Source organism: Homo sapiens, chromosome 15, assembly GCF_000001405.40.
Source record: "Homo sapiens chromosome 15, GRCh38.p14 Primary Assembly".
Classification (NCBI taxonomy): Eukaryota; Metazoa; Chordata; class Mammalia; order Primates; family Hominidae; genus Homo; species Homo sapiens.
The window spans coordinates 33,527,428-33,551,383 of NC_000015.10; the positions used below are offsets into that span (position 1 = coordinate 33,527,428).

General features: G+C 39.7%; 1 protein-coding gene across 20 annotated transcripts in view, besides 1 other annotated feature; it reads left to right on the forward strand.

Moving 5' to 3' along the window:
* RYR3 (ryanodine receptor 3) overlaps nucleotides 1–23,956 on the forward strand; it is a 555,136-nt gene that overhangs the window by 216,461 nt on the left and 314,719 nt on the right. For all 20 annotated transcript variants that reach the window (XR_001751370.2, XR_001751371.3, NM_001036.6 and 17 more), the window contains 7 exons: nucleotides 3,165–3,239; nucleotides 5,884–5,962; nucleotides 11,923–12,035; nucleotides 13,364–13,463; nucleotides 16,195–16,288; nucleotides 20,703–20,777; nucleotides 22,733–22,889. Coding sequence is in view for 18 of the 20 variants with exons in the window: in NM_001036.6 (NP_001027.3) it covers nucleotides 3,165–3,239; nucleotides 5,884–5,962; nucleotides 11,923–12,035; nucleotides 13,364–13,463; nucleotides 16,195–16,288; nucleotides 20,703–20,777; nucleotides 22,733–22,889 (693 nt within the window). In the remaining 2 variants the exon portion in view is untranslated. The remainder of the gene's footprint in view (nucleotides 1–3,164; nucleotides 3,240–5,883; nucleotides 5,963–11,922; nucleotides 12,036–13,363; nucleotides 13,464–16,194; nucleotides 16,289–20,702; nucleotides 20,778–22,732; nucleotides 22,890–23,956) is intronic.
* Nucleotides 17,878–19,077: an enhancer, noted in NCBI's record as "BRD4-independent group 4 enhancer chr15:33837506-33838705 (GRCh37/hg19 assembly coordinates)". NCBI's record gives its function as "activates an origin of replication core promoter dependent on BRD2, P300/CBP, MED14 and CDK7 cofactors, and independent of BRD4, by STARR-seq in HCT116 cells {active_cell/tissue: HCT116}" and the evidence as "EXISTENCE:reporter gene assay evidence [ECO:0000049][PMID:35650434]".

Genomic DNA, 23,956 nt, shown 5'->3' on the forward strand with positions numbered 1-23,956 from the left:
AAATTAGCTGGGTGTGGCAGTGCACACCAGTAATCTCAACTACTCAGGAGGGAGGCTGAGGCAGGAGAATTGCTCAAACCTGGGAGGCAGAGGTTGCAGTGAGCCGAGATTGCACCACTGCACACCAGCCTGGGCAACAGAGGGACACAACTCTGTCTCAAAAAAAAAAAAAAAGGCGTATCATATTTCACCCACAAAGCCTAAAATATTTGCTATCTGCCCTTTTACAGAAAAAAAATTGCCTGATGCACGGCCTTAGAGGCCACAGTGAGGACTTTGTACTTGTATTTTAAGTATGGTGGGAAGCCATTGTGGGTTTTTGAGCAAGAAAGTAACATGATGTGATTGACAGTTTTTAAAGGATGTCTCTGGCTGCCGTGACTGAAAGGAGGAAGGGCAGAGCAGGGAGCACAGTTGGAAGGTCGGTGATTAACAAAACCCTGGTGAGACCTGGTGGCAATAGAATGGACTAGACTGGCAGGCGCAAGGTGCTGAGTAGTGGGATACAGAGTATCTTTTGGAGGTGGCACCGAAAGATGCTTTGAACTAATGGGGGAGTATGAGAAGAAGAAAGGAGTGAAGGATGACACCAAGATTTCTGGTCTGCTCACCCCTCGTAATGCTTTCATGGAAACGGAATGAGACTATTTTTTTTTCTACTTCTGTGGCTTGACCGTCCCATTTCTTCCACCATTTTGCAGTCAGGGTTCCCTTTCTAAGGTACAATTTTGATTGTGACACTGTCCTTTCAAAAATCTACTCCAGTATCCTGTTAGCTGTGGAACAAAGTCCATCCACTGAGCCAGTCAGTCTGAGCCCTCCATAATCTGGCCACCCCTCACCTACATCCTGTGTCATGTCCTTTTACTCCTGTTCATCCACCCCACCACAAACCAGCGAATGGTCTGCAAGTCCCCATATGTGCTTTATTCTTTCCACTTCCAGACCTTTGCCCACATGTGCTCCTCTCTTACTATGGAGGTGTGTCAACAGTCCTACCAGAATGTTGTGGCCTACTTTTACAATAAGGTCATTGCATGATACCTCTTTATCCTCCTAGTCTATTTCAATACTCTCTGCCTTCACCTATTTTAATAGGTGTTTCCATTTGTAACATCATTTTTATACACAAATCTCATCCCCCATCATCAAACTTCAGAAAAGGAGACAGTATAGCACATAGTTAAGTGCCCTCACTTTTGTTAAATCCTGACTGTGAACTTGGAACTTATATGACTTTGAGCAAGCTACTTAATCTCTGTAAACCTCAGTAGTGTGTGCCCAATGGTAGTAATCACCATGATGATAATTATCAAAAGCTCTGTAGGAAAACCACTTTTGCCATTCTAGCACTTGAAGCTTGCTTGTTCCCTGAAAGCAATGGTTCTCAAAACATGACACCCCCCTCCCCCAGCTTTTGGGGATCAGTGACTCTTAATTCTTCTTATGATTAGAGAGTTGGTAGGGACAAAGAAGAGTTGGAGGAAGGTAGGAAGTATAAGCTGGTCAGTGGATCCGTTTGAGATGTAGGACTGTTTTGGGAGGACACACCCACAGTGTAAGCCATCAGGAGCCATCCATTAACTTGTAATAATATAAGTGGATAAGATCAATTTTTGGTAGATTGGCAAGATGTGAAAATTATTTGGTATGTCTAATTTTAACATTAGCTGTTGACACATTTATAAATACAGAAACTAAAGTTAGTGCAGATGATTTCAAGAAATTTTAAAATATTGTGAAGAGCATTGTAATTCCACACAGTATTAAAGCCTGGAGAACACTTAAATAATCTCTGTAGCTGTGGGAAAAAGCGCAGCCGCATTTATATTTAGTTACCGGCTTTTTTGGAACATGATACCACGTTTATCTTTTTTCTCTTCTTTAGGCTCATTATGTGACATGAAAAATCATCTTTTTGACAGAGTGATGCTATTAATCCAAATAGAATTGAAATAAAATTACTCCAGGCTTTGTCCTCCACACTACCTGATTCCCTTTCCTCTGCATTGCTCATTGGTGTGGTTGCAGGTGGACACGGGAGACGGGCAGAGCCTCAAACCAGTCCTTGGGCTGCCAGTCTGTAACTCTGAATAAAATGGACTGCATAAGAGGTGTCCTTGAAGAAAAATGCTAGAATTATCTTCATAATTAATTTTTATCTCAAGCTTTAGATTCTCTTTCTGTGCATGTTTGGGGAGGGGAGGGCTTATGCTCAAATATTTTCTCCAAAAAGGGTGTGTGATCAAAAACTTGATTGCTGGTTAGCATGATGAAGAGATACTTAGGTGAGAGGTTGGAAATGTTGATGCCAAAAACTCCTAGAATTTTCTGTAGATTTCCATTTTCCATGCGACCTACTCACCTCTAACTATAATAAATTACAGTTTTGTCTCCTATCATGTACCATTCAGTTCAGCATGGTGACGTGTGAATCAGATTCAGGGAAAGAATAAGAAACAGACACCAGTGGCTTTATGTCGGGCCATCTCTCCCTCTCATGCCTCCCTCTCCCACTGTTTGGGCAGCCACTGAGCAAATAGCCAAAGTGGAACTGCCTGGTGAGGCAGAGAAGATACCTAGATGGTCTCTCAACTGAAGGATCTATTTCTGCATAACTGGTTACCCTTTTAAAGTCCTGGATTTCAGAGCCATCTCTCGTTGGTGAGATCTGTGTATAAAGGACCCATTTAAGGGAGTGGGCAGAAGGCATAAGTGCCTTGAAGGGAAAAGACTGCATGGCACAGAATGTGACCATGTGCCGCCTGCCACACTGCCTTTGTGTTGCTAGGCTATGGCTACATCACATTTGTTTCTCTCTCTCACTCTGAACGCTTCTGAGAAGTTTCAAAGGAAGGTAAGCAGTACCTATGTCACTTACATGCTTCTCTGGTAGAACAGCTCTGGGTTTCTGCTGATCCTGGGCAGAGGCCATTTCTGGGAATAGATTTGGTCCCACACACCCTCTCCCAAGGATGTTGCATGGCTGTGGTCACACGTCTCTTTCTGCCCGTAGACCAGCCACTTGCTTCTGGAATGAATTCCTTAGGAGCTTTGCAATGGGTCTTTTCCTGGTAGTCTGTCTCCCAGAATTATTGTGTTGCTTGGCTCCCGGAGAAGCCACAACGGGCATGTGCTGACCTTATTCTTCCTCATTCCCACAGGCAGCACAAGGAGGTGGCCACAGGACCCTGTTATACGGCCATGCAGTTCTCCTGAGGCACTCTTTCAGCGGAATGGTAAGCAGCTCTGGTGCCCACTTTCATCATTCAAGGAGAAGGAAAAACTGAAGAGGGGGAAATACAGGAAGCCAGCAATAACAACGTAACAGCAGGAACAATTGGAACATAACTAATTTTAGCACGTTATCCTCTTGGCATTTCCTACATATGACCTACCTCAATTTGCAATAATTGCAATTGTGTTTTTTGTTTCATCAATGTCTGATACCCCACCTCCAACTCCCTGAGGAAGAGGGCCATGTTTCTTTCTTATTTTGCTAGACCTATAACCCCACCAAATGCAGTGCTTTGATATACTAGATGCTCAATAAATATTTGTTGAATTGACACATGATCAAATGGCTTATGGAGTAACAGAGCGCTTTAGTATACAAGGATAACCAGCATAGAAGAAAAACCAATCAAATGGAAATTTTGTGACAGTTCTCCTCCTTTACCTAGCTAAGAGAAATAGAATGGTACTCACTGTTTTCAGTCCTGGAAGAACTTGCAGGTGGGATGCTAATCCAGAGCCAGGAGGAAGACAAGAGGCAAGGTAGTCACAGAAAGCTGCATGGCTATTACTAATCAGGGATCTAGAACCAGAATCGACAGAAGGATGATGCCTCAATGTAACTTGAAAAAATTGCTACATTTTAAATATAATTTATTTATAATTTATAAAAAAATATAATTTTACAATATTTTAAAAGGCAGATATTGTAGTTTTGCAGGGAGTATTAAGGAGAATATTATTACTCAATCAACTATATGCCACTCCAATAGTGTATCATCCTCACTTTCTTTCGGTGTAAGAAAGGCTTGTCATTTTCCTCTAGCCCTAGTGGAAAACTGATACGTTAATTCAAGACTATTTCCACACATTTATACCAGCAGCATGATGCAAAGTTCATCTCAAGGCTTGAACTATCAAACTGACAACAGGAGCAACAGCTGCCTGTTAAATAATTCATTTGCTGCAGCATATATATATATATATTTTTTTTTCTGAGCACTGGTAAGAGGCTGACCTTTTCAGCCTGAACATTCGTCTGCTGTAGTCCTTCATGGCAAAAGACGAAAAACAAAAATGTCCAAACGGAAGTGTATCCAAGTAGGAGATGGAGATGTTTTTGAGAGTAGGGAAACTTTGAACCCTGATAATATCTGGAATTGAGAAGGTGATACTATCTTTCAGAATCTGGTGTTTATCTATAGGGTAAATAAAACTCCAACACTTGTCTTTACCTAAATGTAATAAACAGAACTTCAAAAGCATACTTCTTATGGCTTCAAAAACAAGCTAATATCATGGTAGTGACACAAAGACTTGCATTATTTACATTAAGTTTACCCCTCCTAAAAAAAAGTTCTACTCACAGTGAACATATACTCTCTACTGGCTAGCTCCTTTTAAGTACAGCTCTGGGAATAAAGCCTATAAGATATGGCTTTCTACATTGCAATGATTTTCCATCTTCCTCTCGCAGAGAAGTAGAACTGTGGCTTAGAAAGCACATCCCAAGAGCTTACCTGCCTCTCAGTCTAATCCTAAGATGAGCAGCTATGCCCATCAGTGAAGGAGGCCATGGGATGCTTTATTAAGTTAGTTTAACAGTCATTTCTAAGTTTTACCTGCCCATGTATCTTTATAATAAGAAAAAGAACCATTATTTTGAGGAGTTTTAAAGCTCATAGAAAATTTGAAAAACCAAAAACAGAAGGTCATGGGACCTTCTGTCCCATGGTCATGGGAAGGTCATCCATGTCCCTCCACACTATCCAAAATCAACTTCTGTTTCATTTTTGTGTAATTCCTTTTAGTCTGGTTGCTACACATTTAAATTTTTGAGTACAGGTTAACTTATAATTGTACTATTTTATATATTACTTTTTAGCTTCATGTATTGTAAATAATGTTCCAGGCTCTTACACATTCTTGATAAATACTCAATAACATAATATTATATAAAATAGCAGTATCAAAGGTTATCTAGCTTTATTATTATTGTTGGTCATTTATGTTCCATTTGTATTGTTCCTAATTTAAAAGTTTCTCAACATCTTTAAGGCATCTTTAATATTTCTAACTCATTTCTATAACATATAGTTCTATACATTTAACTACTGAGTCATCAGATAAGAGCATCTTTGAGGTTTTAAGTGTATTGTAAAAGTATTTTCAGCTGGGCATAGGGTGGTTCACATGTGTAATCCCAACACTTTGGGAGGCCAGGGCAGGAGGATCACTTGAAGCCAGGCGTTCAAGACCAGCCTGGGAAACATAGATAGACCACATCTCCACAAAATTTATTTTAATTAGCTGGGCATGGTGGCACACACCTGTAGTCCTGGCTACTTGGGAGGCTGAGGTGGGAAGATTGCTTGAGCCCAGGAGTCTGAGGCTGCAGTGAGCTAGGATTGTGCCACTGCACTCCAGCCTGGGCAACAGAATGAGACCCTGACTCTAAAAATAATAATAATAATTAAAAATGAAAGTATTGTATTAAGGCATTTACCAATTAACTTTCCAATGAACAAGATAAATAGAGCTGTCTTCACAGTAGCTCATTGTTGAACTTAACTAGAAGCTAACTAGTGGTAAGATACCAAGACTCAATGGAAGAGTGTGACTTCACTAGTATTTGCTCTTCTTTCACAGTATCTAACATGCTTGACTACATCAAGATCCCAGACAGACAAACTTGCCTTTGATGTAGGTCTACGGGAACATGCCACAGGTGAGTCAGCATTCCCAGATCTCTTGAGCTCAGCGGGGGTCTTGGGCTAAGGGGCTTTTGAGAAGGACCCTGAATGCGTTACTCATTTGGGATTCCAAACCAACCTGGTTAAGAAATAGGTCTGAAAAAAAATTGCAGAATAATGAACTAGAGAAAGAATGTGTAATGGAAACACGGAAACTAAGAATGAAGGAGAACATAATGTTTTTACCACAGTCAGCCAGAATCTCAAAGAAAAACAAATCTTTAACGTTGTTAGGTATTGAAAGTAAGTGAACAAATCATTTGTGATAAGAACCAATGATACTAAATGACTGCCAAAAAATAAAGGTGTCGTAATAAAGGCTTAAATAATGAAATATAGTGTCTAGATCAAAGGAGTAGTCCTATTTTGTTCTGCAATGAACAAGCTATGTCTAAAGTAGTGTTTTCCAAATGTTATTGACATCTATAATCGTGATTTTGCCATTCCACTGTATCCTTTATAATATCATTTACTTTATGATTTTATTTAAATTTAATTACTTTTGTACTTAAAATTTTACAGACAAAACTTATTGCCGTAAGTATAAACTGTTTTTGCTTGCCATAAAAGTAAAATAATGAAAACCATGTCATTAAGTAATTGAAGAGATGTTGACAAATATTATAACATGTTAATGATACACTAGTTCCAAATGTAAAACTTTATTTGAAAGCATCAGAAGGTTTAAAAGGGTAGTAAAAATGGGCCGGGCACGGTGGCTCATGCCTGTAATCCCAGCACTTTGGGAGGCCGAGGCTGGCGGATGACCTGATGTAAGGAGTTTGAGACTAGCTTGGCCGACATGGTGAAACCCCGACTCTATTAAAAGTACAAAAATTAGCTGGGTGTGGTGGCAGGCGCCTGTAATCCCAGCTACTCAGGAGGCTGAGGTGGGAGAATCGCTTGAACCCAGGAGGCAGGGGTTGCAGTGAGCCGAGATCGCACCATTGCACCCCAGCCTGGGGGAGAAGAGCGAGACTTCGTCTCGAAAGAAAAAAGTAGTAAAACTGAAAATAAATTTCTCACTGTATTTGTCAGTGTCATTTAATTGCCTCCCACCAATGATATACATCATATACTTTGGGAACCAATGGATTATTATTATTTTTTTTTTAGTATAGTCAAAAATATTGACAGTTAAAAGGTGGGTGCTGAAAATGCTGACCAGGATGGCACAGGTTCTCACTGGAAACCAAAAATAAAGAACCGAGGACTAAGATAATAATCTACAGATATTCAAAGTTGTAATATCAAACAAGATGCTGACTTGCTGGGGTTCTTCCAAAGACCAACAGAGCAGTGGGTAGGAGTTGAAAGGAGGCACATTTCACATCAATTTTGAAAACTACTTCGGAACATCAGCAATTAATGAGCAGGAGAACAGCCGGCCTTGGGATATCGGGTGCTCCCTGTGGCTAAAAATATTCATGAACAATCTGACCATCCGTCAAGGGCATTACATGTGGAATTTCTGCTCCATTTAGAGGTTGGGCTAGGTACCAAACAGGATTCTTTGTTGCAAACAAGAGAACTTGATTCAGGTTAACTCAGTAAGAATAAGAATTTACTAGAAGGATGTTTGGTAGAGCCTTCACTAAATCTGGAGCCTCAGGCTTGAAAATTGGGTAGGAACAGAGACCAAGGAAGAGAAAACAGGTTAGGGCACACTGCAGGAAAAGTCTAATTTGAATACAGTCTGTAATATGACATTCTCCCTTAAATAGGAAGAGGGTTCCAATGTTGGGTAGCCAAAGAAAGACAAGAGCCTATGTTGTTATTCTAAAGCTAGGTCAGTTCATAATGGAAGGATCCAGGTTGCCTAATTTTATAGATCTAGAAAAAAAAATCCAGCATCCAAACCGTGTGTACTTGCTGTTTCCATGTCTTGCACAATGGTGTCCTGAGAGTGCCTGAGGGAACCTCTTGCTCTTTTCTTCCTCTTCCTGTTTTTGTACCAAGCAAAAAAGTGGCCCCGCCTTTGCCCATTATGGCTTTTTTCCTAAAATAATATTAGATTTGAATTTGATTTAAAGTTTCTTTGTTTTCAGCCAAAGTGTTAGTCTTAAAATATAATTTCCTCTAAGGTGTTGTCGACCTTGCTGGAAATTACAAAGTGAGTGAAGTGCCACACTCTGAATATACACTTCTTTCTAAATATAGACCAACTGTCAATCCTGAAGAATATGATCAGAAAAGTCAAATATGGTCACTGTATTTATATCAGTAAAATAACTTGATACTTTTTGAGATTGGAAAGAAATTGAGAAACACCGCTTTTTAGTCAAGTGTTCAGAGAATTATTTTAATTGTTAGAGCCTTAAATAAAAATAAAGGGAAACAACAGCGGCAACATTACTCTTTTCATCAGTTTTTAAACTGATGAAATTCACACATCAGACTAGGTGTGAATTCTGTTGACAGACAAGGCAAACACATAGAACTAACCCATATTCAAGCTGGCTGTTGAGAAGCTACCTGTGGCGGAAGACAGGGAGAGAAGGCTTGACTAGGTCTTCATGAAAACCTAGAGCCTAAACTAACTTACGTTTGTTTTGCATCTCTCACCCAAACTCATGTGATATTCTCCTTGAAGAAAGCTAGCTGGCGTTTGTGAGGGACAAGGAGGATGCACCTCCAACTCAGATGAGGTTCAGCATTACCTGGAGATTCTCCTCACTGCAGGAGGAGGTTCACACGGAATCCAACAGAAGGGTCCCCTGTTCCTGTCTGGCTAGTTCTCTGAATGCACTTCTGGCTCAGAAACCCCTTCAGAGTTGTAAACAAGTAAACTGCCCAGTAGTGGAGTTGAAACTATAGGAGAATATGAGGAGAAAGTTTGGGGGCAGTTTCTTGAACAATTCTAGCATTTTTCCCCAACACATTGAATTGTACATTCTCACACTTAACACAGAATTGATGATCATTTTATCCTTGATTTTGGGTAAAATTACTTATTCTGGTCTCCTTTTAAAGTTGTTTAATTGTTTTGTTTTTAGGATTTAGATATAGCTTTAGAATTTAGACTTAGGAGGAAAGAAATGTTTAAAGCATACCCACACTAAAAGTGTTATTTTGTATTTTACGGCTTTGGACTGGCCCATCCCACTGCTTCAGGGACAGCTCCATCCCTGGCTCCAGAGTGTGGGAGAGGGCAGGGAAGCAAAGTACTCTTTCTGTGTGTTCCTCTTCAGGACCCCCTTCATCATGGACACCCTTCGGTGGTCTCAGAGAACATTAAAGATGCATACAACATTTTCCCCTTCAAATGTAGAGCTCAACCTCTTTGTCATGTCATGTTTAGTTTAATTGAAGTAGTACTCACACATAGATTAAAGAGAGAAATAGTGCTCCTGAGCTTATTATAAACACCAGTCTCCTGCCCTCCCTCCTTTGGATGCTTGCCTCTCTGGGGCATCTACTTTCAGCTCTTTTAGTATTGTTTACCACTTGTTTATAATATACATATTAAAACAATGCTTTTTAAAATTCTTTCTAGATTATGCATTAACTGTGGATGTCCTGATAAAAATTTTGCTTTTATTTCACTCTTCCCTGTCTTTTCTTCCACTCTTCCCATCCTTCCAATAGATTTTCATCTATTTTATTTAACTATCAAATCAATATTAACTACTTTCACTGCTATAACTGTAACTTTTATTTGCAAATGAGCCACATAATATATTCTGACCAGGTAATTTATTGTATTACTTTAGAGTTTTCCAATAGTTAATAACTGCCTTATTTGTTTGCTTAGTTTTTTTGTGACCCAATCATGTATTCATTTTCAAACTTTCCTATAGAAGTGAAAATCTGGTTAGATTCGCTTGCATGATCTGTTCTCTCAGTTTCATCTTCTTAGAAACATCAGCCATCATCTAGGGAATTTCTGTTGCCTTGCCCTAGATTCCATGTTTATTAGATCTGACAGGGTTGGTTTTTGTTTTCTGGTTTTTTAGTTTGTTTGTTTGTTTTTTGCCTTCTTGGTTTACCACCTCACTGTGGTGGAACACATTATCTAGTAACTTTTACAGAAAAGATGCATGTGGATTAAATTTTTGTCTGAAAATTTCCTAATTACAGCTTCACAAGTCATACACACTTTACTGTAATTCTATATTGGAAATTTTTTTTCCTCAGCTTCCTGAAGGCTTTCTACTAGCCAGTGGTCTGACTGTTGAGAAGTCTACATTCTGATTTCTTATCCTTTGTGTGTGACTTGCTTTTATTTTCTGAAAGCAGCTAAGAGCGTCTCTTGTGCCTTGGTGTCTGAAATTCCACAGCGATGTGTCTTGGCGTGGCCTCTTTCTGTTCTGACATCTCACTGGAATGCACCTTAGAGTGGGTTTCTAATCTCTACTGTGTTAGGGACTCTGTAGGTTCTTTCAATCTGGAAATGCTCATTTTTCAGCTTTGAAAAAACTTTAATAGTATTTCTTTGTTAATTTCCTCTCTCTTTTTCAGTTCTTGCTCTCTGGAATTCCTCTAGGTTGGTTTTTTGATAATTCTGTTTTTTGTCTTCCTTCCTTCTGGAAGAATTTTTCAGCTTTATCCCACCACCTTTTTCTTTTCTTTTCTTTTCTTTTTTTTTCCAGGATCAGTGAGTATTTTTCTTTTCCTTGGAAGGGATCCTTCATAGATACTAATATAGCTGTTTCATGAATGTCCTCTGAGATTATTAATTATAAGATTTTTTAAGTTTTCATTTGTTCTTTATAATCTTTGCTTTCTCCAAGTCTCTTCTCTTTTCACTTTGTTTCTGTGGTTCCTGTTAGAGACCTTCCTCGGTTGTCAGGTGGTCCTTGGTCTTCATTCATGTTCTCATCAAGGCAGTAAAAGCTGACTAGAAGCTGGCTGAGGCTTGTTGTCTGTTAAGCCTCACTTTTAGGTCATCTGGCAGAGACCTGAGCATTTCACTGGTGACCTAAAGCCACAGTATGTTTTATCTTAGCTAGTTTGGCTTCCCTAAAGAGTGATCCTCAAATTTGGGTGGAGGGAGGGAGGGAAAGGAGCTGGGGTTTTACTAATCAGGGTATAAAGTTTGAATTCTGTTTTCAGCAAGACTCTACTTCTTTGTTTGACAATGTCTGGTATTTCCAAAACCAGACCACCCTTGGTAGTTGGCTTTTCCATGGATTAAACTTCTAATCTTCTATAGCGTGGAGGAGGAGAGGTCTTCTGGCTGTTCAGGGCAGGGAAAGGCATCAGGGATTTGAATGTCCTTTTCAACCTTTCCACCAGTCCCGTTTTCAACCCATTTTCTGCCTTCGCAGGTAGCTGGTGCTTCCAAGTCCAGGGACTTTCTTGAGATTCTGCAGCAGGAATTGGCTTTTTATTGATGGTTTCTTCATCTCCATTTTCTTACTGAAAGACCTGGGTTTTCACTTTTTATTGGCTAAAAGCTTCCACCTGCTTTCCTTTTTCCAAAATGTCAATTTATCTTCTTTGCTATCAATTTCTCACTTATTGTCTGAGTCCTTGCAGATGTAAGCCTTTAAAAAAGCTTCCCTTAGGACAGGGGGAGACAAAGATGAAAGTGTGTAAGTGTGCAGTAGACCAATGACATAGATTCTTATTTATTTATTTATTCTTGGTGGTCTTGATTGGAGTCAATTCTCAAAACAGAAATTTGAAAGACTATAAAAAGCATTTTTCCTATTTGCATTAAAAATACTCAAAGGCCGCTATAGTTTCCGGCCTCCAATACTCCTTTCCATACACTGTTTTTCTGTCTCTAGGGAAAATGAAAATGACAGACATAGTCAAGAGCAGATGGGGGGCTGTCTGGAACGGTTAGAGACCAACAGAAGTTGAGGTCTGGAATGTGCACTTGTTGTGTGCACGTGAAGGGTTGTCCTAAGAGGAAGGAGAACAAGGAGCAAAATTAGGGACACTGGCTTCTGTGAAGCAATGACTAACTCAAGGAGCCTTCATGTAGGAGAAGCCTGTTGGTGGACTATACATCCTGCTTCCAAACAGAGGTCCGAAGGAGAGAAAGTTCGAATTGGCGATGACCTCATCCTCGTCAGCGTGTCCTCTGAAAGATACCTTGTAAGTACCTCATAATATAAGAGTCTTCTGTTTTCAGAAATTTTTCCTTTAGGAATAGATGGCCATGAAGAACTGAGCCACAGCAGGTTGGATAGAATAAGATGCTTTTACATATATAGAGTTGACCCTTAAACAATGTAGGGGTTAGGGATGCTGACCCCCTGGCACAATAAAAAATTAAAGTGTAACTTTCGACTCCTAAAAACTTAACTTTTGATAAGAAGTAGCCTACTTTTGATGGGAAACCTTACTGATAATGTGAATAGCCTGTTAAAGCATATTTTATATGATATATGTATTATATATTGCATTCTTACAATAAAGGAAGACAGAAAAAATGTTAAGGAAATCATAAGGAAGAGAAAGTATATATACTGTCTATTAAGTAGAAGTAGATCATCCTAAAGATCTTCATCCTTGTCATCTTCACGTTGAACAGGAGGAAGAGAAGGAGAAGGAGGGGTTGATCTTGCTGTCTCAGGGGGAGTAGAGGTGGAAGAAAATCCATGTATATGCAGACCTGTGCAGTTCAAACCCGTGTTGTTCAATAGTCAACTGCACTCGAGGGATGATTAAATACTGTCTGCTGCCACGTGATCATGGTGTCCGGAACTAACCTGTTATTCTTTTAGATGATGGTGCTGCATCCAGCAAACTGTTAAAATGCCCCAAGCGCTATATGCACATTAACTCCCATTATTCTGAATTTATTACGTTGTTTAGCTCTTGTTTAGGGAAGAACAAGAAAGGATCGAATATAGGAAAATAAGTTTATGTTGGAGAAAGAAAGAAAATGTACAATGTTTCAGGACATGGGGTATCACAGAGAGTGGAAGTTGCCAGTGAGATTTTGCAGCTGGGGTTGGGTAATAAAAAGCACCATTTGTGTCAGGCACTTGTCTGGGGGTGGGGATGCCTGAAGATGAGAGAAACGTCAGAGAAGCTTCTCACGGAGTCAACTGAAGTAAAATCTGTGGGCAGATTTTACTTTGCCTAGGCCAAGTGTTGGGTAATTTTTCCCATTTGTGAGTTATCTTATCCTACAAAGAATGGACATTTTATGAGTTGGTGTTGAATCAGCTCCAGCTGAGGGGATGAAGTCAACACATGTCTGCCATCTCTGTAGCTGAATAATTCCTCACCCCAGAATAAAGTGTCCCACTTTGAAGCTGCTTCTAGATCAGGTGGAGAAATCTCCCACAGGCTGTATAGAAAGAACCAGATGACAGTAAGGCTGTTTAATTTAATCCTTGAAGTTCTAGGTGAGCTGTTTCTGTCGGCACTGGACTGGTGATTTAAAAGATGTCTCATTTCTGTTTCTGCTGCAGCATCTCTCAGTATCAAATGGTAACATACAAGTGGATGCCTCCTTTATGCAAACACTCTGGAATGTACATCCTACGTGCTCAGGAAGTAGCATCGAAGAAGGTGTGCTTCTTTAAATGCATTTAGCCCTGAGCCTGCCTATCTCTCTTGAGCTGTATACATTGACATTTTCTGCTACTTCCCAGATCTCACCTGAATGTCTTGGTACACAGGTAGCCTGATTTTAGCTCACTTGAGTTTCTTTCTCTGAATTCAGTACAGATTATTTTCTATTCTAACTTCCAGTTACATGAGCATCCCTGAACTTTTTTTTTTAACCCCTTGGAGCCCACTATTGTTTTAGCACTACGTGTATTCAGGACTTGGATATGCACCTTTGCTCTCTCCCTGAGTTTCCACAATTTTATTTTTGCTTACTAGTTGTAAGTATAAAGACCTCAGCACCTTCAGTTTTAGAAGAGATTATTTGCCAAGAAGGTGACATGGTTTATATTTCTCCTTATGCATCTCTCCATGCAGGCGAAGCACTTACTCTATTATAAAAGTGTTTGGTCATTTGTTTTCACTTGTATTTATGGAAGGCCATTTTAACATAAGAGGTGAAATTATTTTTCCCTTGGAAATAAAGTCATCCAACGTTGTTCAATGTATTTTATTTCATAGAATCAGGTAAAAATCAATACACCTTTCAAGTTGTGTAATAAATGTACTGGCCTTACCTCACTCATAGGTAATACCACAGCTGAGAAGAATAATCAAATGTCAGTGACCTATGGGCTATTGTGTTACATTTTGGCACATTATAGCAAGATCAGAATTTTTAAAAATACTCATCACAGGCTTTAGCCCTATTAAAGTCTAGTACTTTCAAACTGGGAATGCCGGTCTATTCTATCATGTTTGAAAAAAGAAGGAAAACAGAGTTGTCAAGGTGATACCCCAGTTTCAGAATGCATGATAGCTAAACTGAAGACTCAGGAAAAGACAAATTCTTAACTCTTTTGGCAACAAGTGGAAGGCTTTAAAAGGTAGGATGTGTTTAGCCCTCTTCCTTTGTGCCAAAATTAACCCACCCTCCTGGGTCTATTGTCAGTCAATCCCTTTCTATTAAGAATCAAGAAGCTCTGGGTTTAAGTCTTTCTCAAGAAAGTTTTGGCTCAATCTTCTCCATGTTAAATTTTTTATTTTCACCATAGGAATAAAATTATTTCCTGGTCCCAACAGAGGGCTTGTGGAAATTAATTAAGGAGTGTTTGCAAATCATGTCAAAAGGTCCTTATAGAAGTGTTGAGTGCCGTTGTAATATAGTCTGGATAACTCATCACTTGAGTCATCTTGCTCTGTAGAAAAATGTCCTTCCAGCATCCACTGGTGAGAAACCCACTTCAGCCCTTAAGAACGTAAGTGATCTTCATCATGATGCTGCTTTCCTGACTATGGCCCTGATAGATTTCAGTTAAGAAAAGTCATGATGCACCAGCACTTGGCAGTGTTCTCTGTGTGAGTAGGATATTGATGGAAGGAGCCCAAAAACCATAAAGGATAAACTCCAAATAGGGCATGGCCTCTCCATCATGAGATGAACGAGAGCTTAATCAAGAGGTTGGTCATGGAGGGCTTTAATTTTCTAAATAAATTAGCTGTTAAGAATCCCCTATAATATATCATGAATCATTTTTAATGCAAAGGAGGTTATAACTCAGATTAGCAGTACAAAAAGATACAGGAAAATTGGAAGGAGACTTCTGAATATTTGAGGGAATTTTAGAAAAACTTGCCTTGTCTAGGTAAAAAAACTGAACTCATAACAGACTGTCACTGTACAAAATTCACTAATAATACCCTTTTCTCCTCTGGCATGATTGCTCATTCTTACTGTTTTAATCCAGCACCCAAAATAGTTTTAAGACAGCCCCTAAAGTGATCTAATTATGTGATTTTTTTTCCTTTAAAAATTCTGACACAGACATTGGGTATATTAAGTTCATATGTCTCCTGAGAACAGACTAACCTGGAGAATTTCTTAATTCAGAGGAATAACAAATCCCATTTCTTGGAGCAAGGTAAAGCTCGGACTGGAGCCCCTCTCCTGCTACTATGTTCTTTGAATTAAGGTTCAGCATTTATTTGAAGACAAATGGGTCATCATGTCTTTGAAGTTCATTGTTTCCTTTCCATCTCTGAACTCCATGACTATTGAGATTCTTTTCCTTATTCTGAAGGCTAAGTGTTTGTTGATGAAAGCGTCTACACTTGTTCACTCAGGGATGCTGGAGAGTAGTTCTGCTTTCCCTTTGTGCTGTAGGAGTAGCAACCAGATTTGATCTGTTTGTTAAATGTATTTGAATGTTGCCTTCTCCTAAAGGGTCTTAAGAATGGTCTGCTACCCCCTTCTCAGCACCTTTCTTTCCCATGACTGCAATCTGATTTGGATTTTTTTTACAAAGTGTACACAGTGAGATTGTGGATATTTATCCAGAAATTTGTTATTGGGTGTACTTACATCCTAAGCAACTGGACACTCCTAACATTAGCAACTTAATTTTCCTTTTGATTTTTAATGATATCAATTGGCACACTATTTTCACCTTACCTTTTGATGTTGGACTTGCTCACCTCTGAAGCCCTATTTAACTTTCAACATTAGAATTGTTTTGACTTTCCTGTCTTTTCTGCCTGAGGCCTGCATTCATGGAATATGTAGTTATCAAAATGTGTCTCTCTCAGTATTTACCGTAACTGGCTCAGACCTGTGTGAATTTACCCTTTTTAAATATGCCATTCTCTTCATTAAACTTCCCATCATTCACAGTAGAATATAATTCTCTTACAGGATACCTACTTGGTGGGCATGTAGTACGTCTTTTCCATGGTCATGATGAATGTTTGACGATACCATCTACAGACCAGAATGATTCCCAGCACAGGTAAGTCAGTAGCTGCATTCTTCCACTAGCTGTTTCCAGTCTCAAATGACTCAAACTAAAGAGTTTACATTGTATTTAGCCATATATGAACTCTGTACATGTCAGTCCATTGACAAACCTTCCTCCAGCCATGGGTTCCGGTTTGTAAAACAGGAATGGCAGTTCAGCTTGCTTACAGGAGGAGCTCTGTACACATGCTGTTCTTAGGCAGTTCTGTAATGCTTCCAGATCCCTTCATTTTCTTTGGCTCTGCACTTAAACAAATTATTCACCAGGCTCTTCAAAGACAGATCATCTCTATTTCCATTTCATGTGCTAAGTAAATAAGGTGGACTTCATTGATTTGGTTTTATGACTAAATAGCATTAGAGAAACTGATGTCCAGCTGGAGCTGGATTTAGCAGGGGGTAGTGCCAAGGGTGCATTTAGAGGGCGCTGTGCCAAGGACGATGTGTTCTTGTCCTTATACTTGACCCCTTCATGAATGCTTTTCAAAGTTTCAAAACCATGACATGGAGGATATGAATCCAAGTCTTAAACGCATACTAAAGAGTTTTTTTTGGGTATTCTATCATCAAAGGAACAGAACATAAAAAGCTTGGCCTTGTAACTATAGAAATCTGATATTTAAAAAAAAAATCAAACCTCAGATCCAAACTAGATTGAATTTGGGACAGCAGTGAGTCTGATCCGGTGATCATGTTTTCTTTTCCTTTTGTGTAATGCCTACAGGAACCTTGTCAACTGCATTTCTTTTGCTTCATTAGAAACGTGGGCTCACAAGTCTTCACATCTTGGAGAATATGTAGGTCAGGCTCCTGCCACAGGTCACACACTGGCTGATTTCAGATGCAAGCCTAGAAGCCAGAGCTGCTGACTCTCCATCAGGGACCATTTCCTAATTGATGTACTCAAGGACCCCCGCAGAAGCAATGTGCTTGAATGTATTATTATGCACCTTAGAAAGCACCCATTGGCAATGTGTATCCCTTATAGTTCTGAGTCTCTTCCTACTTGCTATCTACTCTGAATACCCTTTCATAGGAACCAGATGTGACCCAGAAGGGTGCCTAGGACACATAAAGCACAGACCTATGTAAAGTGCTGTGCTTAATTCACTTGTTGCCTCCCTGGCACTGGTCCGGCGGTTGATAGTTATCTCGATTAGGAAGTTAGGTCGACCTTATTTTCCTTAGAAGTAAGGATTCTCTACCCTGTCGTGTGATCCTGTTCACTTGTGATTTGCCTTTTATTCAATATTGAAACTATACAATAGCCCATTTACTGTCCCTTTGATATCATATCCTGCTGCATCAAGGGGAAGGTTTGCAGGTAGATGAATAACTAAGATTTTATGAGTTTTGCAGGGTTGTCTGTATCTAAGATGGAATACATCAGGGTTTTCCTAGTTCATTCTCTCTATTCCTGTTCTACTTTTAAGGATGGGAACTGGAAAAAATGAAGTATTTACCATGGGCATGCCCCCACCCACATGCACACACCTGTCATCAAAATTAGAGCCAAATTAGAAACAGCTGGACAGAAACTGCTACTTAGGTTAGTCATTTGGTGGGCATTTTGTTCAAGTGATTCAGCAAAATTCTGCTTACAAGGAAAGGCTCAGCAAGTGTTTGAAAGGAGGTGATGGGAAGAGTGAAGTAGATGGAGGGGGATTTTCACAATAGGCACACTGGAGCAGACATGCATGCCATCATTTAAATAAACATGAAGGTGACCTTTCTTTAGCCCAGGATTTCATAGGCTCTAATTTGTGTTTTGGAAAAAAAAATCATCAAACAAAATAAGAAGGCTTATTTTATAAGGAAGCGTGAAGGGTTTGAGACTGGGGTAAGTGAGCAGCTATTCAGCACACTGGAACTTGAATCTTTGTGTCAACTAGTCTCAATCAAAACAGGATGCCTTGGTGTTATTTGATGTCTAGGTGAAGTGAGTGATAAGCCTTGTCTTTGTCTTCTATTGTCAGGTAAACCCTCAGAAATGTCCAGCATGGCCAGGAGCACCAAAATCTGGGGAGCATGATAGAATAGGAAACAGCACACTAAAAGACTCCAGCAGCCACTAAGGCATGCAGGTGTTCCATTGCAATGGTGCTGACTCTCCAGAAGAAATCGTTTTCAGTCCCTGTAAATCCTGAGAGCAGCCAGGCTATGTGGAAAGACTGTCTGACCCAGAGTGGAAACCCAAGATTAACAGTCTAACATTTTGAGCTCTGATCCTTGGCTTTGCCTCTGGCTTGTCAAACACCCTGGGATAAGTTACTTAACCTATTGAAGCTAAGGCTAAGCTGTCAGCCAAGCTTTCAAAAGCACCTCAGCTTGCCGCCCACTATACTCCTCTCCTTGGAATTGTTTTAGAGAACAAGAACAAGTTGTTTCAACCTCAGTAACCTTGTGAGATTAAATGGAGCAAGCCGCCCAAATGTCACAGGTGGGAAGAACAAACCTTCACAAATCCTTCAGATGTCAGGGGTAGAGAATCTTCTAGTTCCAGCTCCAGCGCTGTTTCACCTGTGACCTGGGTGAGCCACTTCACCCTCTTCTCCTGAAGGGATCCTTTCAGCTTGCACTAGAGAAAGAGGAGCATAAATGAGAATCTTAGCAAATTTTCCTAAGTGGCTAGCAGGTTGGTGCAGTATCATTTCCGTTCTAGGCCTGGTACAGAGACACCTGGGGTGTAGGAACTCTAAAGCAACGTCAGATTTTCTTCCTAATATTTATTGGGCATTTCCCGATAACATGTACATTAGAGAAAGATTGAGAAATAGCCTCTGTAATCCCACCTTCCAGAGGTAACCATTGTTGATGTAATGTTTCATTGATTGCTGTATGATTAATGTGTTCCTCTATGCATGTTTATAAACATTTATAAAAAACACTTTCTAAACATTTTAAAAAGTCCTTTAAATTTTCACAACATTGTTTTATAAGTACCCTTATTAGAAAGCAAACTGAGACACAGAGAGTTGAAGGGGCTTGCCCGAGATCACACAGCTACCAGATTCAAACCCAGGTCTGTCTTAACTTCCAAGCTCATATTTTGAATCGACTCATAATTATACTACTTCTCCAGAAAAAAAAAATAAGTATACATTTTCTTTTCACCACTATTGACTAACTCTTGTCTCTAACATCTAAATCAGGATTCCTCTTGGGTTTGACCACTTCAATTGTGATCCATACAAATTCTCTACGGTGGAGGTAGGATTTTAAGTTAGTGAATGTAAATGCAGTTAAATAATCAGTTTTGATCAGAGGTCACAAGATTCTCAGAAAGTGGCTGGATTCAGTATACCAGGTAATCTGGGGACTGCTGTTCTTGAGACATGCTCTTAAACTGTGAATTTTGTATAATGTGGAGCAACCTGCCCCGATCACAGGTTATACAGAATTTATTTAAAATAAAACTTTAAAAACTGAGGCTTTGTTAATCACTGGAAAAACATCAGACAAATCCAAGTTGAGACACATTTCACAAAATACCCAACCGGTACTCCACAAAACTGTCAAAGTCATGAGAAACAAGGCAAGACGGAGAAAGCATAGCAGATCAGAGGAAACGGGAGACATGGCAGCTGAACGCAGTGTGGTATCCTGGATTATATCCTGGAACTGGAAAAAAGTTTGCAGGAAAAATTAAGGTGAAATTCAAATAAAGTCTTGAGTTTAGCTAGTAATGACATACTCGTGTTGGTTTCTCAGTTTTGACAAACGTACCCTGGTAATATAGGATGATAACATTGGGAGAAGCTGAGTGAGATCATACAGGAACTCTCTGGACTATCTTTAGTAACTGTTTGATAAACCTAACATTTTTCTAAAATAAAAATTTTATTTCAAAACACATTAAAAGATGATTCTTAACACGGGAAAGGAAGCAACAGTACAGTAATAAAATCATGAACAGTGTAACAACTGAGCATAAAGCTTTGTTCCAACTGCCCTGGAATGATGGAAATGAGTTCACACTATGTCGAATAGGTGTTTTTAAAGTACAAATACATTTTTTAAAGATATAATAAAACTACATCAGGGAGCTTGACCTGAAGGAACTGGAGCATTCTGTGTCTGCCGTCATTGTGTAACTGGGCTATTGTGACTCCTGATATAGAAATGGAGATGTTCTTGTTCCTGCCTTTCCCTTGTATACCTGATGATGCATAAATGCCCATGATATGGATATGGTGAGCAGTTCCCTCCCCTCTAGCTGCTTTGACCCTTTCTGAGAGAGAGAGACTGGGAAACTGTCTTCCCTCTTATTCTGGCTTTGCATTCTGCTGACTCCAAAAGGGCTTAGACAAGCTCAGTACCTGAACAGCCTCTGCAGGGAGCTGTTCTTCACCCGGGTGCTGATCAGTGTCATGCAAGTAGGAGCTGATCTCCAACTCTGCTCACAGGAGGATATTCTACGAAGCTGGGGGAGCTGGGACTCGAGCCAGGTCTCTTTGGAGAGTGGAACCCCTTCGGATAAGGTAATGGAAGGCCTGGGAATGCCCTTTTCAAGATTACTTTCTTTTTCAGTACAGGCCGTTCTCTTAAATATTTCATTCATTCCACATCATCTGGCAAACTCCTTCAAGTCCTTTGTCTAGAGCTAAGTTCTGATATTTCTGTGACTTTGTTTTTAAAGAACACACACACACACAATCTCCAAAGCCACTGTGTTGACTCTGAGGCTGGCAGGCTTTTCTGCCCTTGCAGTAGCTGACTATAAAAGGAAAGCTCAGACAAGGCCACTGAAAGCCATCCAAGTTCTCCCATTTGTTTTCTTAAACAGGTTCTCTGGAACCCAGATAAGTCTTCCGTCTCCTCTCAGTAGCTTTGTTGGCTCCAGTGGACAGTTAGCTTTAAATGGCACACAGACAGGTGGTCGCGATTGCATAAGATAAGGAAGATGTAAACTTCACTGGAAATGTAGGTGTGAAGAAAAAGGTACTTACTAGAACTTTTCAGAGACAGTTTTGTCCCTTGGTGGAAGGAACAGGAGGCTGAGACTTTCCAGCCACAAGCTTTGAATAACCTCAGGTGGTCGGTTAACTTCAAACTACTGAAGGGGGATCACTTTCAATGCAGGACCTTTACTGGGCTGAGAGGATTTGCAAGTTAGGCTAGAGCTAAACTGCTTGGAATGAGAGAGGAGGGTTAAGCATCGCCCTCTGATTTTCCTTCTCTGCCTTTCCCTCTAGTTCTTTCTGCTCAGTCTCCCCCCGAAAATATGTTCAAAATAAGTCTCTCTCACGCAGGGTATATGCCCCCCAAGGGCTCCTGAAGATAATCCATTGGCAATCAGAAGGGAATGTTAGGAATTCTCTTACACCATACACACATATGCACACGTTTTTTTTTTCTGATAAATTGGCGGCTGATGGTTTAAGGAACACCGGTTTTAAGGAGCGTGCACTTACTAACTGGCTTGAGTCATTTATATCCTCTTTCCAAACCCATTAAAAATCTGAGAGTAACATACTCTTGTTCTCAGGACATTAGGCCTTAGTTCTTGCTTAATGGACTTTTTAAGAGGTCAAAATAAGTATGTATGCGTACTTCTGGTTATGATTGCTTGCTCATTTCCCCAGAGACCTAAACATGAAGAATTCAAGCCTTTTATCAATGCGATTTGGATTTATTGATGCTTCAAAAAGTTGGACAAAGTGGAGAGTGGTTTCAAAATTTCACACATCTCTCTTAAACCTTATATTCTTAAGAGATAAGTATTTTGCATATGAGCAAATATTTTAAAAAGATAAATTTTGAGTTAGATTATTCAGTGGATAATTTCTCCCATAACACTTACCATAACTTTTGCTGAGTGCTGATCTTTTGATGAAGGACCATGAAGAGGACAGTATTCAATATGAGTTCTCACTTGTCTTAATCCTTTTATCCTGCTTTACTTATTTTCCATAGAATTTATCCTTTTAACATAATTCATTGTTGACTTATTATGCTTGTTTGTTGTCTCTCTTTGTCTGGCAAGTGTAAGCTGTGCAGGTATTTTTACTATTTCCCTTGAAGATAGGACTCTTTGTGGTAGTAATACGTTTTAGTTCAGATGGCAGGTTTGGAAAGGCTTTCCCAGAAACAAGTTTCCATTCAAAGACAAGCTTCCCATTGATTTGTGGTTATTTGCATCAAGAACTTTCAGTGGAGTAAAGGAAAAATTGGAAACCTGGGACTTCCAGTTGTATGAAGCCACTGACCTGCCTTCAAGATCATTCCTTGTTGATGTCATCAAGAAAGAGCACTATGCTGGGTTGTAGGCAGACATGAAATCCTACAGCAAGCCAGCAGCCTGGTGCGTTTTCCCTTAAGGATGGACACCAGAAGGGTTATAAGTCTGCTAGCATGTGTAAGAAAGCATAGGATAAATACTGAAAAGGACTTATTTTTGTATAAATGCAATTTCTTGTCTGTTTCATCTGCCCAGCTGGAGTGGCAGTAACATCAGATGGGGCCAGGCTTTCCGACTCCGGCATCTCACCACAGGCCACTACCTGGCCTTGACAGAAGACCAAGGCCTTATACTGCAAGACCGGGCAAAGTCAGACACCAAGTCCACAGCTTTCTCTTTCCGGGCATCAAAGGTAAGGTGTGATAAAGTGGACTTTGACCCTGTTCTAAAAGTGAAAACTCAGAAACCTCCAGGCAGAACTATAACTGGAAAAGAAAGTAGGCTGGAACAAAGTGAAATTGGAAATTTGCCCTAAGATAGATAAACACTTTCTTCTTTTATCTTTTGAATTGAGTTCATGGAGGAATATGTACCTTGGATGAAGGTTGAAGTCTTGAGCAAAAGGAGAGTGTGGAAAGTCCTGGAAAGTGCAAGGAGCATAGGAATGGACAGTGTTGCTCAAAGGCTAACGGAAACTATTGTTGTTGTTTAATGCATTCTGAGTTGTCTTTGATAAATTCCAAGTTATATTCTTCACTCCTTTAAAGCAATAGTAACATGGAGGCATGAGTTTCAGAGCTACATTTGTTTAAATAAAAAGGTAATTTGTTAAACAAAAAAAAGATTTAAATGTAAAAAGCATGAGTTTCAGTGCTATATTTGTTTAAATTTTTTTAATGATGCAGAGAAGACATTCTGGACATAACATTATCTTGCAGTTATTAATATCTATATGATAAAATTTACTAGTACCTTCCTCGTTCTTTTCCTTAACTATCCCTACTCCCCACATCTCTTAGTTTTCTCCCATCCATCCCAAACCTTCATTAAGGATGGATCCTCTGGTAGTTAGGTTAACCTCGAATTAATTGCTTTACCATTTGATGTGTATGTAGACAACTATTCTTTTTTAGAAACCGCCTCCTTTAAGGTTCAGCCAAGCTTCTACTCTGTCTAACTCAGTGCTGGATCTAGCTGAACGGTCAGAATTGCATGCTGAGCTAACTTCTGACAGACAGTTGGATGGTCTGTCACTTTATGAGTGTTCTGGAAAGATCATCCAAGCATGAGAAGGGCTCTGCACAGATGCTTGCACAGTTAGCAGGAAGTCTGCACTTCCTAAGAGTATAGCTCAATATCTCCTTTGGGAGCGTCACCTTTAGTTTCATTCTTTGCTCTTTTCCAGAAATAAATCTTGATATGTGTTCTCACCATGACTTCACTCAAGGGTTGTTGAGGATTCTGTTCATCTAGGACTAG